Genomic DNA, 16,748 nt, shown 5'->3' on the forward strand with positions numbered 1-16,748 from the left:
GGAAAATGACGGTACTCACGAGAAAACCAAGGGTGAGGAAGCCCAGCAATCAGCTAAGGCAAAAGGAGAAGAGTTTGCGGAAGGAAGGAGGTGGTCAACATCCCCAAAATCTATGGAGAGAAAGTAGCTGAGGATTTAGCCATCAGGGTTGCTGTGGTGGGGGCAGGTGATGAGAAAAGGGAGGCAGTCGGTATGTTCTTCACGATGAACTCAGAAGCATGGTGGTAACGAGGTGTTCAAGACAGGAGAGACCCTAATGGACTTGAAGGCTGAGGATGGAACAGGCAGAGAAGGAGGGGGCAACAGGAAAAAGGAAGGTGGTTCACCAGGTGTAAAGGGATTCTTCTGTTCCTGTTCCTGAGAAGAAGAGATGCACAAGAACTCGGCCCTCACAGCCTCAGTGCAGCTAAATCAGGAAGAAGTGGGCCCGCTAAATGGCTGGGGATGGGCAGAGAGGCAGGTCTAGGTCTGGACTTGGCAGGGCTGCTTCAGGGTCAGGAAGTGAGCTCAGCTCGGCTATGATGCAGCTGAATGAGAGCCCAGTGGGGGTCAGGGGAGATGAACTCCCTCGTGGCGGCCGAAGGCCTGGGTGAGGGTGGAGCAGCTGGCGATCTGCAAGAGGAGACTGGAGTCCCGGTGTGCTGCAGCCTGCAGTGTGGGAAGCATGGAAGCCTGGATGCTATGGAGCCACAATGTCAGTAAGGGCTGAACTCCACAGGAGAGGACAATGGTCTCTGAACATGCTACGTGCCTTCGAATTTGCATGCCTTTGCATTTGCTGACAAGCCTGCCTCCCTACCAAACCCCTATTCCTTTTTTCCTTTCTATTGAAATGCCCCACGTCTGTGAAGCCCAGCCCCCAAGGAAATGCAGGGCTGTTTCCTCACTGCTCTTCCTGCATGTTCATGCCATCCTTCCCTTGTCCCCGGGACTCACCTTGCACGCTATCTGAAAGCCACTCAAATGCATGAAGGGGTCTCCCCACTGGTAGCTCTGTCTACCCCTCTCCCTCACCTCATTCACACTTACAAATCCTTCCAGCCTCAGATCAGGTGTCATTTCCTAATGGAAGCCCTTCTTCCCTGCTCCCACCCAAATGAGGTCAACTTCAACCACTCTTCTCTTTCATGGTACCTTGTACTTGTTCTTCAGGGCTTCTCTATGTTGTTATTAATTTTCATTTATTTTTTATTTTTTGTAGAGATGAGGGTCTCACTTTGTTGCCCAGGCTGGTCTTGAACTCCTGGCTTCAAGTGATCCTCTTGCTTGGCCTCCCAAAGTGCTGAGATTACAGGCATGAGCCACTGCTCCCCACCAGGGCTACTCCTAACACACTTAGCATATTCCTAATCACACACTGTGTTTTATAATAGTATCATCACAGTCCATGTCTCCCACTAAACTGTAAGCTCCATGAGAGCAGAACCCTTTTCTTTTTTACCATTACACTCTACCTTGTAGCACAGTGGCTGACCTCGAGTAGGCACTCAGGAAGTCCCTGTCAAATAACCAGCAGGTGAATGACTTGGACTCCAATAGCCATGTGCTGCATTCTCTCCTGCCCTGGAGGACAGGCTGCTCAGGGTCTACCATGCAGTAAGTCCCTGCCCTCAAGGAGCCCTTGACCTAGGGAGAGAGACAAATGAAACCAAGCTTTTCAACAGAGAGTGAAGAATGCTGTGCGAGTACCATGTACAGTGCCGAGGGGAAATCTCCACCCACTTATTGGTGGGGTCCTACCAGGTGCCAAAGTTGCTGGAGACACTTCACCAAGATGACCTCATGCAGCTCCTCATAATACCCCTACAGTGAGCCAAGGGATGGCATTCTCCGAGGCAGAGCTGTAAATCCCTACAGGCAGCTGTTGGTGGTGAGAACCCCTTGCACCCATTGCTGTGATGATGGCAGATGGCATGACGGTGCACTCACTGTATTCCAAGCCCTATATAAAATATTTCACAGACATCATCTCCTGGCTTTGTCACACTCCATGGGCTCAGCATTATCAATAAGCCTGTTTTATAGCACAGAAAACTCGGGTTGTCTCAGAGAGGTTAAATGATTTGTCCATCCTGAGGCTAGGAGGTAGCAGAACTAGGAATGAAACCTAGGTGTGCGGAGTTCCAGAGTGAACTATGAGGCTGTGGTTAAGGAAATATTCAGTCCAAACAGGAGCCATGTGGTGATGACAGATCCACAGTTGAGAAAGGGCACTAGGATGTGGCACTGGGGCCAGGCTGGTGTGGACAGTGGCACGGATTACAGCAGCTGCATTTTCCAACTGACAAAGCGTGTCTAGGAGGAAAATTGGAGAACACAAAAGGGCACATGCGGGCGGCCCAGAGGGGTCCAGGTGTAGGCCTGCCCAGCCTTGGTGGGGGTGGGAGGGGGCATTGGCTACCTCCAGAGTGGGTTCTACTGCTGGGGTTGGCTGTGGCTGAGTTCTTCCATCAGATGCATGCCTTCCCTGTGAGTGAGGCCACAAGCAACTCCTCAGGCCCTGAGCCTGACATTCACAGGACTGCCACAAGTTAGCACCTGAATTTAAATCAGGCCAAATTAGTGCTATTTCTACAGGTGTCTGTGCTGCTTCTTTTTTCTCTCCCTCTGCCTGAAGGAGGAGAGGGAGAAAGCAGGCAGCCAAGGAGCACAGCCAGCCGTATCAGGACCGGAGTGGTGGCTGTCAGCCCCTGCGGCTCCCCCAGCGGATGGCAGCTGTCAGTCTGAATCACAGAACCCCTGGGGAAGATACAGGGTCTTCACTGCTTTCAGGAAGCCATTTCTGGGCAGAGACTCCGATTTGCAAGGCAAAGGCACAGACACTGTACCTCTCTGCAAGGTGGCTATTTTTCCAAAGGAAGGGTAGATGGAAAGAAGGACGGCAAAGCTGGAAGAGGGTGAATTAGGAAGGGAGAGGAGGAGATGCAAGCTATAACCAGGGGGAATGCTCACCTGGGGCTGCTGGCTGCTGCCCTTCAAGGATGGCCTGTCTGCCAGACCATCCCTCAGGGTGGGGCTTCCAGTCTGAGACTCCTTGGAGAAGAAGCATGATCCTGAGGTCACTGTGTGCTCATGCCCTCCCCCTTGTCACAAGAATGAATCATAGCCAGCCTTTGCTGGGACTGTGCCTAACCCAAGCTGGAGCTGTGGTGGGGAGCATGTGTCTGCTAGCAAGTCCTCACCCCACGGTGCCCAGGAGACTACTCAACTTGCCTTCTCTCTTAGCTAAGCTGAACAAAGGCAGTGGGGAAAGGAGAGACCAATGCCAAGATAGGAGCAGGGTTGCATTGTCTCTCTGTTCAGACTCCTTCTATGTGTCAGCCCAGTGCTCCATGCTGGGGATTAACCAGGGATTGAGGCAGAGATGGAGCTGCCCTCATGGAGCTCCCCACAAGGATGAGAGTGAGGAGAGGGAGACTAGCAGAAAAGGGGAGGTGTCCTCAGAACAACTGCAGGGGAGGCAGGAGAGAGCTGGGCTTGCATAGGAAATCATATGTCCCTGACAGCAAAAAAGGACTAAGCAACACTCAAGGATGGTGGGTTAAAGGGTAGTGCATCTGTTTTCTTGAAGAGGAAAGAAGCTAATACCTGCTGGGTACCAGCTCTGGCAAATATTAATTATTTTTCTAATTAACCCTTATCCATCTAGTAACTCTGAGCAGGGAGGTTGATCACATAGTTCTGGATTTCTCTGCCTTGCCCATTTTTTTTTTTCTTTAACAATCAGCAGCTCTTGGAGAAGGTTTGCAGGTAAGGAATAGTCAATGGCAAGACATATGAAGACTTCTCTTCCATCCAGGAAGCCCTCTCTGATGATCCCATCTGCTCCTGTGTCCTCCTCCCTAAGCTCTCTCTACTTTCCTTCCTTCTTGTTGTACAATATAAAACTATCAACCTGTTTGTTTATCTGCCCTGCAAACAGGAAGCTGAGGGCAGGGATGGCATGTCCAGCACTGAACACAGGGCTCAGAATTTGTGTCATGGAATAAATGAGTAAATCAATGAATGAATGAGTGATTGCCATTCTCTCAGACCCTCACAAGCATGCCGACTAATTTCCAGTTCAAAGAGCCCAGGCACTGAGGCAGTCATTTTACAGGACGGTAAGGCCGGAATGTGATGGGAGGGAGGCCCCTCCACCTCTGAGGCTTTTCCTGCTCCAGGCAGTTCCTGCTGCCCTGAGCACTGCCCCCAGGCTAAGCCCTTGGGAACCTGCTTCATAAACACTTACTTAGCAAGACATTTAAAGTGCTATTGATTTCTCTCCTCAGAAGGAAAGGTGAGACAGTGATAGACACGGTGAGCAGTTAGCAACAATGAGTCCCATTCACCCCCCAACCAGAAGTCATTTCCCTCTCAGATTACCAGCCCGGCAGCCCTGGGAGAGAGAGAGAGTGGCTGCACGCTAATGTAGGCAGTGCTAGAACCAGCAGGTGCTCTCGCTCCGATAGTGGCAATTAGAGCTTAAGCTCCTTTTTCTATGAGACAATGAAAAATAAAGCTAATTTCAGATGGCATATTCTGTATACCTGAATCCAAGGCACCCTTCTCCCCTACTTAGGAAGAAAGACAGGAGCCCATGCCTCCCCAAGAACCAGAAGGAGATGCCTCTGATCCAAGTCATGGTATCGTCAACAATATTTTCAAGCACTTACTAGATGCTAGACAGAGATCTTACTAGACGGGAATAGGTACTGGGAAATGGAGGCACATAACAATGTAGCCCTCATCCCCTGTGCCTAGCCTATGATGGACAGAACACATGTGTACCACACATACTAGATAGATGGATTAAGTGCTGCCCTGCAATTCTAGCTCCATGAGAGCAAACCTTCCTCTGTAGTCCACCTTGTTAGGCTCCCAAATTTCCAGAACACTTGTCTCATAGCAGGTGCTCAACAAACACTGTTTGAATTCATTTTGTATTTTGTTAAGGTAACAGCAGCTGCTATAATAAATGCCTAACATCTAAGTGGTTTAGGATAAGAAAGTGTATAATCACCACTGTCCTCTCCAACTAAGATCAGGGAGGAGCAAGATCAGCATACATATACTCCCTTAGCCTCACTTGCAGATTTCTCTGGGGTGAGCTGTATTCCTTGAACTCATGGGAGTCGCTAACCTAAAAAAAAGTTTCCTGATACATAAATACGCGTTGGGAATAACAGACCTAGAAATGAAGTTTCAGAAACTCCAGTTGCTTACCCCTGATGTTTGAGGCTGTGGCACAGCTGAGCAGGGAGAGGTGACCCAGGGGTGCTGGTCTCATTCACGTGGGTGGAATGCAGCCAGTAGCTGCATTTACATACTTTAATGATCACATAAATGGGAGTTGGTGGCAGAGGCCATATCAGATTTGTCATAGAATAGAAAAATCCCTTTGGGAAACTAGGTATTAGGGAACAACAACAGACCTTTCTACCTAACTGCAAGAGGGGTTGAGATGTATGCCCTTGCCTGAGGGTGGAGCTGTCTCTCCCGTAAGTCTGTTGTGGGGGAACATGAAGCAAAAGCCTCATGGATTGAAGAAAGAAATGCCACTGAATGATTCCTCTCCTCTGCTGACATAGAGGGCAAGACAGTTTAAGAAGCTATGTAGATCCATGCTTTTGTCACCAAAGTCTGAGACTCATGAAAGACCTTACTGGATGTCAAATTACTCTGTCTTAGGGGAAACCAGACCTCTGAGCACTCCCTCTACCCCTTCACCCCAGTGAAGCTTCCCTGCATACAGGATGCTGGTATCTGGCAGGTAAGGAGCAGGTACCTGACAATGCCCAGAACCAGGCCTGGGAAGGGATGAAGATCCCAGTAGACATCTTCTGCCCCTTTCCTCTTCCTCCTGTAGAAATATTTTAAGTGCCAAGGTTTCAACTGACTGAGTGGTTTGAAAGTGAAGAAGAGAGGTATGGAATGGAGGGATTTAAGAGAGAAAAGGAAGAAGGCAGGGAAGGGCAAAGGGAATAACTACTTAATGCCAGAACAACAACAAAAAATTGGTGAGGAGCTTTGCAGTGGCTTTAATTTACTTTCCTGTCCTCTCTGGCTCTCATTACTTTTTATAGAAATATATTTTTTGTGTCACAGATTGACAATGACATGAGCCAAGGAAAGAACTTATGGGTCAGGGCTGTTTGAAATCAGATGGATGCCATTACTTGGTTTTCTAAGCAATTAATAATCACAAATTGCATTGCTTATTTTTATATTTATTAATGAAATTTAATAAATTTATCAAGTTTCACCCCTAGAAGGTATAAGCTCTATGAGAGCAGAAACTGCGTATGCATGTCTGTATTCATCAGTATGTCCTACTATATGTCCGGCATATAGTAGGAAACAAAAACGGTTCTCTGACTTTTATTTAATGCAGAGAGCTGATGACAGAGGGTGGAAAGAATGTTGTTACACAGACCTTCCTATTGCTAATAACAGTGTAGATGATGATGATCGTGGTGGTGGTAATAATGTCACTTATTATAAGCTGGATCCCATTCCAAGTGCTTTATTTTGATCATTTCATTAAAACCTCAAAACAACTCCACGAGGAGGTATTGTTATTCTTATTTCCATTCTTCCAATGAAGGCATGAATTCAACAGGTAAAGGATTTGTTAAAAGTGATTTAACTAGTAGATGCTGAATCTAGAAAGACTTTATCACTCTGCCTTTCTGCCTGCCACACTTTTTTTTTTTTTTTTTTTTTTTTTTTTGTTGTTGCAACGGGGACATTCTGCCTATACCCGGAGCCCTAGGAGAACAGAGGTGAACTTGAGACGTGTAGACAAAATAAATTATGGATCTTGATCCTTGAGGACCTCAATGCCCATGTTCATGCTAATGATCCATTGAGTACTTGAATTTCAGTTACTACTTTTCCTCAGTATTATTCCACCCTGTATGCTGACCTTTGCAGAAGACTCAAGTTGGAAGATGCAAATTCAGATTACAAGCTACCTCACCTGCTACCTGCCACCTCTCTGGCTCTCCTACAAACCAGATCATCCATGCAACAGGTCCCACGCCCCCATGGGCAGGGCCCACACCATCAGTAGGAAAGGCTTTGCTAATGATGGCCTAGAGGGAGGAGTAGCCCTGGCATCAGAGCCCTGTGTATGATTTAGCCTATAAACCCAAAGCTGTTATTAGCTTCTACTAAGCCACCACATTGGGCAGGTCCTGAAAGAGAAGAACAGAGCAGCCCCATCAAAGGGAACCTTCTATGCACCCAGAGCAATGCTGGGTATTCACAGGTATACAGGTGCCTGGCTCTTCACCTGAACAACAGCTTCCCTCCATGGTAGCTTTCCTAAGGTTAGGTTATGACCAAATATCCCTGCAGGCAACCCATTCATTGCTCCTATACTTTGAATAATAACAGAACCGGCTGCTGGCTGGAGTCTGCCAAGGTTACCTCCCAGGAGAGCTTCTCTGAAGGTTAATGCGGAGCTGTCATGCACAGCCAGATTTTCACTTAGGCCTTTGTTGTTCCTCCTGCACTTGCTTCCCTGCTCTGGCTGTGTCCAGCAGCTTCCCAGTGCCCACTAGGTGGTGATGCCCGCAGAGACTGGGCTCTGAGCCTGGAGCAAAAGGACCATCAGTATGAATTAGTTTCCAGCTGAAGTGGGCCCACCCAGCAATCCGAAGAGGTGGGAAGGATGGTGTTAACAGCAAGCTAGCACTTCATGAGGGCTTGGATTACTGTTCAATGCATTCTGATGAGCACCATCTGCTGCCAATCCACACTGGGCATATGTCTTTTCGCCCAAGCACTGCACTGTGGCTACAAATTCATCACAAAGCATGCATAGGCCTTGCAGAGAAGAGATAAGTGCTGGAGACAATCTCCAAACATATCTGGGAGCAAGGGAAGACAGGTGGAAAAACACTGTAAATACAGGCCCACAAAATACATAAGGGACAAATACTGCCTGAGACGTTTAGCAATACCCAATTTGCCATATGACAGACCATAGAAGTGACCAGAGAAGTTTCTGCACCAGCTGAAGCCTTAGCTAAATCTGTTGCTTAAACTGCTTCTTTTGTTTCTGTATGGTATGTTTGATGTTCTAATTCCCATTCAACTATGAGATCCAGTTCATCCTAAAACTTTTTTGTTGTTGTTGTTAAAAACAATCAATTTCACATCTCTCTGTATTAATCATCAGCACTAGGAATCAGTTTTCTTTTGGGAACCATAAGTGTCTGTCACCCCATGAGAGATGATGAGGCATAATGGCTCATCAAGATGGTCATGCCCAACCATCTGCTGAACTCACTGGCCAAGGAAATTGTTCCTACTGTCCTTCTAAGCAGTCAGCAAGTGATAAAGGAGGGCCTACTGTGTACTTGGCCAGCACTAGATTGCCCAGACAATGTACATGTATCAGGCAAAAAGGCTAGGAACCATACATATTTCTTTAAAAAAATTTTTAATTACATTTTTTTAAAAAGAGCATTGTAATACTGAAGAAGAGAAACAAAGTATGAAGTCTCATATTACTAGATTTCACGACTTACTATAAGGTTACAATAATAAAGGCAGCATGGTTGTGGTGGAAAAAAAATAAACAGATTAATGGAACAGAAGAGAGGAATGAGATATAGCCAACTGATTTTTTTTAAAGGCACAAAAGCAAGGAAAGGATAGTCATTTCAATAAACTGTGCTGGAATAATTAGATATTCAAATGCAAAAGAATGAACCTAGTCAGAGACCTTCTACCTTACAGAAAAATTAACTCAAAATGGATGATAGGTCTAACTGTAAATTACTAAACTATAAAACATCTAGAAGAAAACATGGGGAAAAAAATCTATGTGATCTTGAGTTTGGTGCTGAACCAAAATCACAACCTATAAAAGAAAAAATAGATAAGTTGGACTTTATTAAAATTAAAAACTTATACTCTGTGAATGACACTGTTAAGAGAACCAAAAAGCAAGCCACAACCTCAATAAAAATATTTGCAAAACACATAGCTGATAAAAGACTTGTATCCAAAATACAAACGCTCTTAAAATTCAACAAGAACATAAACAACCCAACTTTAAAAGTGTACAAAACATGGGAACAAACACTTTGCCATATGTGATAGAAAATAACCATATGAAAAGCTTATGAACATCATTTTTCATAGGGAAATACAAATTCAAACAATAATACCATATCACCATGTACCTATTATAGTGTCTAAAATCCAAAACAACTCACAATACCAATTGCTGGCAATCATGCAAAGCAACAGAAACTTTCATTTATTGCTGCTGGAAATGCAAAATGCTGCAGTCACTTTGCAAGACAGTTTTTCCATTTCTTATAAAACTAAATATCTTATAAACAAGTTAGTAACAGCACTCCTAAGTATTTACCCAACTGATTTGAAAAATTATGGTAACACAAAAAGTTGAACTCAAATGTTTATATCACCTTTATTCATAAACACCAAAACTGGAAGCAACCAAGATGCCCTTCAATATGTGAATGGATAAACAAACTATGAAACATCCATACAATGGACTACTATTCAGTGATAAAAAAATAAATGAGCTATCAAACTACAAAAAGACCTAGATGAATCTTAAATGAATATTGTCAAGTGAAAGAAGCCAGCATAAAAAGGCTATGTAATGCACAGTTCCATTTATATGACATTCTGGAAAAGGCAAAACTGTAGAGCAGGTAAACAGATCAGTGGTTCCCAGGGTTTTGAGGTAGGGAAAAAGGAGTAGTTGAAAAGATGAAGCACAGAGAATATTTTTAGAGTAATAAAACTATTTGTTATGATACAATAAGGGCAGATACATGACATTAGGAATTAGTGAGAACCTACAGAACTTTACAGCGTAGAGTGAACCTTAATGTATGCAAATTTTTAAAAAATCATTTAGGAGGCCAGGGGATCCTAGGATGTAATGCAGAATGTGACACAGTAATCTGAATGTATTATAAAGGTGCTGACCTGTGTAGTTTTGGAAATGAGTGGAGATTATAAGCAAACAGCCTATACATAAGCACTCTACTCTAGTTGATAAAGTTGTTTCCCATGGAAATAGAGGCTAATAATTTTGATACTGGGATTAAAGAATTAAGTAAATGGATAGTGGATGGTGGGAGCCAAGTTTCCTACTGTTGGAGTGGAGAATTACAGATAAGCAAGGGGAGGAAGCTATAACGACATGGTAATGAGTTGGATACATTAGCATAAACTTGTATTTAGCTTAATATAGATACATATAGAATAATTTATAAATGTATGTACATACATTTATATACACACACATGCACACACACATATGGATTAGTATACACATATATATTCCCTTGCTGTCAAATGAGAGTGCAGAACAACAACATTCCCGAAGTAGTGAGCACAATGAGTGCTAGGATCTTGGTTTCTAATTCCATTCTACAATAAAAAGAACCAGGTCTGTTTGTGGAAGTTGCTGATTCTATGGCTGGGATACTAAATACACAAGATGAGCCTGGATATTTTATTTCTGCCAGAAATTACAGAAGTGTTCAAGAGTAGGTAAATAAAATACACCACAGTGGGGGTATGTCAAAGGGACACAAGACCAACAGAAGGAGTGCCAAATGACCAAAGCTGGAACAATTTGAAATGTAAAATCTTAGTATTGGATTAATAGTTAGTATTGGATTATAACCTCAAGCACAAAATATATATCCATGAGTCCACATTATATAAATATTAATACATGCTTTAAGAAACAAATAAATGGGGTAAAAGAGATAAATCTCTCATGTAAAATATTTCAAATAATTTATGTAGACACTCTACCCTGAAGCATCTACATAAGGAGATGGAACATTAAATACCTACTCTTTAAGTGTAGGCTATGCGTAGTAACTTCTTCCAAAGAGTATGGTGTAGAAATGGGGTAAAATGAGTACCTTTGCAGTAGAGAAGCCTGACAAACACTACCTCAGCCAGGTGATCAAGGTTTGCATCAATGGTGATAAGTCATATAGATAAGCATGTAATTATGACTTCATAGGATGACAATGACACTTGTGCTGATTCCTCTGTGGATCTTGGGGGTTCTTCCCCAAAACTCATAACCCTACTCTAATCATTAGACCAACATGGAACAAATCCTAATTGAGGGACATTTTAGAAAATACCTGACCAGTACTCAGAACTTTCAAGGTCATCCAAAATGAGGAAAATGTTAGCAAAGCCTAAGAAGACCTGATGACTAAATGCAATGTGGTATCCTGGATGAGATCCTGGAACAGAAAAACGAAATTAGGTAAAAGCTAAGGAAATATGAATTAAAACATGGACTTTAGCTGATTATAATGTATTGATATTTGTTAATTGTGACAAATGTACCATGCCAATGTAAGACAATAATAGAGAAACATGGGTGCAGGGTATCTGGGAACTCTCTACTATCTTTGCAATATTTCTATAAATCTAAAAATTTTCTAAAATAAAGAGTTTATGTGAAAAAATTAACATTAAATTAATGACTTTGGGATATAGTAGAGCTTTATTGGACACCAGTTGCTGAACAGAAGGGGAACACAGTGTTCTAAGCATAAAGAATGACCAAGAATTGATCAAGCCAAGAAAGTGAGGAGAGTTGTCTCTAAGTGACGCATCAGGAGTTCACCAGACCAATCTTAGAAGGATGGTGTGTGCAAAGGCCTTCACAGCCTTGATTCCCATTTATGCCCCAGCAACATCGGAAATTACCATAGCAGGGACTTCTTAGCAAAGTATTATTCACTTTATCGTGAAAGTTTTAACCAAAGCATTAAGACACACACACAAAAGAAATGTAACATACATATAGAAAATAGAATGAAGTACTTAAACGCCCAGGTGGAAGAGTAAGAATAATCTGAGTTCAAATCTTGGCTCTGCCATTTGCCAGATGGAAGAATTTGAATTTTAAAAGGCGTATTTTTTTGTATTTAAGATGGAGATCATAGTCCCTCCCAACACTGGGCTTTCAGGACTATTACATGGAAACATACATAAGGTACAGAGTGTTTAGCAACAGTGAGACATAAATAAATGACTATTTCTTTTTTTTTTATTATTATACTTTAAGTTTTAGGGTACATGTGCACATTGTGCAGGTTAGTTACATATGTATACATGTGCCATGCTGGTGCGCTGCGCCCACTAACTCGTCATCTAGCATTAGGTATATCTCCCAATGCTATCCCTCCCCCCTCCCCCGACCCCACCACAGTCCCCAGAGTGTGATATTCCCCTTCCTGTGTCCATGTGATCTCATTGTTCAATTCCCGCCTATGAGTGAGAATATGCGGTGTTTGGTTTTTTGTTCTTGCGATAGTTTACTGAGAATGATGGTTTCCAATTTCATCCATGTCCCTACAAAGGACATGAACTCATCATTTTTTATGGCTGCATAGTATTCCATGGTGTATATGTGCCACATTTTCTTAATCCAGTCTATCATTGTTGGACATTTGGGTTGGTTCCAAGTCTTTGCTATTGTGAATAATGCCGCAATAAACATACGTGTGCATGTGTCTTTATAGCAGCATGATTTATAATCTTTTAGGTATATACCCAGTAATGGGATGGCTGGGTCAAATGGTATTTCTAGTTCTAGATCCCTGAGGAATCGCCACACTGACTTCCACAATGGTTGAACTAGTTTACAGTCCCACCAACAGTGTAAAAGTGTTCCTATTTCTCCACATCCTCTCCAGCACCTGTTGTTTCCTGACTTTTTAATGATTGCCATTCTAACTGGTGTGAGATGATATCTCATAGTGGTTTTGATTTGCATTTCTCTGATGGCCAGTGATGATGAGCATTTTTTCATGTGTTTTTTGGCTGCATAAATGTCTTCTTTTGAGAAGTGTCTGTTCATGTCCTTCGCCCACTTTTTGATGGGGTTGTTTGTTTTTTTCTTGTAAATTTGTTTGAGTTCATTGTAGATTCTGGATATTAGCCCTTTGTCAGATGAGTAGGTTGCGAAAATTTTCTCCCATGTTGTAGGTTGCCTGTTCACTCTGATGGTAGTTTCTTTTGCTGTGCAGAAGCTCTTTAGTTTAATTAGATCCCATTTGTCAATTTTGGCTTTCGTTGCCATTGCTTTTGGTGTTTTGGACATGAAGTCCTTGCCCACGCCTATGTCCTGAATGGTAATGCCTAGGTTTTCTTCTAGGGTTTTTATGGTTTTAGGTCTAACGTTTAAATCTTTAATCCATCTTGAATTGATTTTTGTATAAGGTGTAAGGAAGGGATCCAGTTTCAGCTTTCTACATATGGCTAGCCAGTTTTCCCAGCACCATTTATTAAATAGGGAATCCTTTCCCCATTGCTTGTTTTTCTCAGGTTTGTCAAAGATCAGATAGTTGTAGATATGCGGCATTATTTCTGAGGGCTCTGTTCTGTTCCATTGATCTATATCTCTGTTTTGGTACCAGTACCATGCTGTTTTGGTTACTGTAGCCTTGTAGTATAGTTTGAAGTCAGGTAGTGTGATGCCTCCAGCTTTGTTCTTTTGGCTTAGGATTGACTTGGCGATGCGGGCTCTTTTTTGGTTCCATATGAACTTTAAAGTAGTTTTTTCCAATTCTGTGAAGAAAGTCATTGGTAGCTTGATGGGGATGGCATTGAATCTGTAAATTACGTTGGGCAGTATGGCCATTTTCACGATATTGATTCTTCCTACCCATGAGCATGGAATGTTCTTCCATTTGTTTGTGTCCTCTTTTATTTCCTTGAGCAGTGGTTTGTAGTTCTCCTTGAAGAGGTCCTTCACATCCCTTGTAAGTTGGATTCCTAAGTATTTTATTCTCTTTGAAGCAATTGTGAATGGGAGTTCACTCATGATTTGGCTCTCCTGTTATTGGTGTATAAGAATGCTTGTGATTTTTGTACATTGGTTTTGTATCCTGAGACTTTGCTGAAGTTGCTTATCAGCTTAAGGAGATTTTGGGCTGAGACAATGGGGTTTTCTAGATAAACAATCATGTCGTCTGCAAACAGGGACAATTTGACTTCCTCTTTTCCTAATTGAATACCCTTTATTTCCTTCTCCTGCCTGATTGCCCTGGCCAGAACTTCCAACACTATGTTGAATAGGAGTGGTGAGAGAGGGCATCCCTGTCTTGTGCCAGTTTTCAAAGGGAATGCTTCCAGTTTTTGCCCATTCAGTATGATATTGGCTGTGGGTTTGTCATAGATAGCTCTTATTATTTTGAAATACGTCCCATCAATACCTAATTTATTGACAGTTTTTAGCATGAAGCGTTGTTGAATTTTGTCAAAGGCTTTTTCTGCATCTATTGAGATAATCATGTGGTTTTTGTCTTTGGCTCTGTTTATATGCTGGATTACATTTATTGATTTGCATATATTGAACCAGCCTTGCATCCCAGGGATGAAGCCCACTTGATCATGGTGGATAAGCTTTTTGATGTGCTGCTGGATTCGGTTTGCCAGTATTTTATTGAGGATTTTTGCATCAATGTTCATCAAGGATATTGGTCTAAAATTCCCTTTTTTGGTTGTGTCTCTGCCTGGCTTTGGTATCAGAATGATGCTGGCCTCATAAAATGAGTTAGGGAGGATTCCCTCTTTTTCTATTGATTGGAATAGTTTCAGAAGGAATGGTACCAGTTCCTCCTTGTACCTCTGGTAGAATTCGGCTGTGAATCCATCTGGTCCTGGACTCTTTTTGGTTGGTAAACTATTGATTATTGCCACAATTTCAGAGCCTGTTATTGGTCTATTCAGAGATTCAACTTCTTCCTGGTTTAGTCTTGGGAGAGTGTATGTGTTGAGGAATTTATCCATTTCTTCTAGATTTTCTAGTTTATTTGCGTAGAGGTGTTTGTAGTATTCTCTGATGGTAGTTTGTATTTCTGTGGGATCGGTGGTGATATCCCCTTTATCATTTTTTATTGTGTCTATTTGATTCTTCTCTCTTTTTTTCTTTATTAGTCTTGCTAGCGGTCTATCAATTTTGTTGATCCTTTCAAAAAACCAGCTCCTGGATTCATTGATTTTTTGAAGGGTTTTTTGTGTCTCTATTTCCTTCAGTTCTGCTCTGATTTTAGTTATTTCTTGCCTTCTGCTAGCTTTTGAATGTGTTTGCTCTTGCTTTTCTAGTTCTTTTAATTGTGATGTTAGGGTGTCAATTTTGGATCTTTCCTGCTTTCTCTTGTAGGCATTTAGTGCTATAAATTTCCCTCTACACACTGCTTTGAATGCGTCCCAGAGATTCTGGTATGTGGTGTCTTTGTTCTCGTTGGTTTCAAAGAACATCTTTATTTCTGCCTTCATTTTGTTATGTACCCAGTAGTCATTCAGGAGCAGGTTGTTCAGTTTCCATGTAGTTGAGCAGCTTTGAGTGAGATTCTTAATCCTGAGTTCTAGTTTGATTGCACTGTGGTCTGAGAGATAGTTTGTTATAATTTCTGTTCTTTTACATTTGCTGAGGAGAGCTTTACTTCCAACTATGTGGTCAATTTTGGAATAGGTGTGGTGTGGTGCTGAAAAAAATGTATATTCTGTTGATTTGGGGTGGAGAGTTCTGTAGATGTCTATTAGGTCCGCTTGGTGCAGAGCTGAGTTCAATTCCTGGGTATCCTTGTTGACTTTCTGTCTCATGGATCTGTCTAATGTTGACAGTGGGGTGTTAAAGTCTCCCATTATTAATGTGTGGGAGTCTAAGTCTCTTTGTAGGTCACTCAGGACTTGCTTTATGAATCTGGCTGCTCCTGTATTGGGTGCATAAATATTTAGGATAGTTAGCTCCTCTTGTTGAATTGATCCCTTTACCATTATGTAATGGCCTTCTTTGTCTCTTTTGATCTTTGTTGGTTTAAAGTCTGTTTTATCAGAGACTAGGATTGCAACCCCTGCCTTTTTTTGTTTTCCATTTGCTTGGTAGATCTTCCTCCATCCTTTTATTTTGAGCCTATGTGTGTCTCTGCACGTGAGATGGGTTTCCTGAATACAGCACACTGATGGGTCTTGACTCTTTATCCAACTTGCCAGTCTGTGTCTTTTAATTGCAGAATTTAGTCCATTTATATTTAAAGTTAATATTGTTATGTGTGAATTTGATCCTGTCATTATGATGTTAGCTGGTGATTTTGCTCGTTAGTTGATGCAGTTTCTTCCTAGTCTCGATGGTCTTTACATTTTGGCATGATTTTGCAGCGGCTGGTATCGGTTGTTCCTTTCCATGTTTAGCGCTTCCTTCAGGAGCTCTTTTAGGGCAGGCCTGGTGGTGACAAAATCTCTCAGCATTTGCTTGTCTATAAAGTATTTTATTTCTCCTTCACTTATGAAGCTTAGTTTGGCTGGATATGAAATTCTGGGTTGAAAATTCTTTTCTTTAAGAATGTTGAATATTGGCCCCCATTCTCTTCTGGCTTGTAGGGTTTCTGCCGAGAGATCCGCTGTTAGTCTGATGGGCTTTCCTTTGAGGGTAACCCGACCTTTCTCTCTGGCTGCCCTTAACATTTTTTCCTTCGTTTCAACTTTGGTGAATCTGACAATTATGTGTCTTGGAGTTGCTCTTCTCGAGGAGTATCTTTGTGGCGTTCTCTGTATTTCCTGAATCTGAACGTTGGCCTGCCTTGCTAGATTGGGAAAGTTCTCCTGGATAATATCCTGCAGAGTGTTTTCCAACTTGGTTCCATTCTCCACATCACTTTCAGGTACACCAGTCAGACGTAGATTTGGTCTTTTCACATAGTCCCATATTTCTTGGAGGCTTTGCT

At 42.4% G+C, this 16,748-nt stretch overlaps 1 protein-coding gene across 1 annotated transcript in view, besides 1 other annotated feature; it reads right to left on the reverse strand.

The window, feature by feature from the left end:
- The window catches only part of SPOCK1 (SPARC (osteonectin), cwcv and kazal like domains proteoglycan 1), a 524,029-nt gene that overhangs the window by 57,289 nt on the left and 449,992 nt on the right, over positions 1–16,748 (reverse strand). The window lies entirely within an intron of this gene.
- Positions 3,825–4,687: an enhancer, noted in NCBI's record as "OCT4-NANOG hESC enhancer chr5:136372100-136372962 (GRCh37/hg19 assembly coordinates)". NCBI's record gives its function as "activates a minimal SCP1, AML or CMV promoter by ChIP-STARR-seq in naive and primed H9 embryonic stem cells {active_cell/tissue: H9 hESC(naive and primed)}" and the evidence as "EXISTENCE:reporter gene assay evidence [ECO:0000049][PMID:30033119]".

The sequence above is a fragment of the Homo sapiens genome, chromosome 5 (genome assembly GCF_000001405.40).
Source record: "Homo sapiens chromosome 5, GRCh38.p14 Primary Assembly".
Classification (NCBI taxonomy): domain Eukaryota; kingdom Metazoa; phylum Chordata; class Mammalia; order Primates; family Hominidae; genus Homo; species Homo sapiens.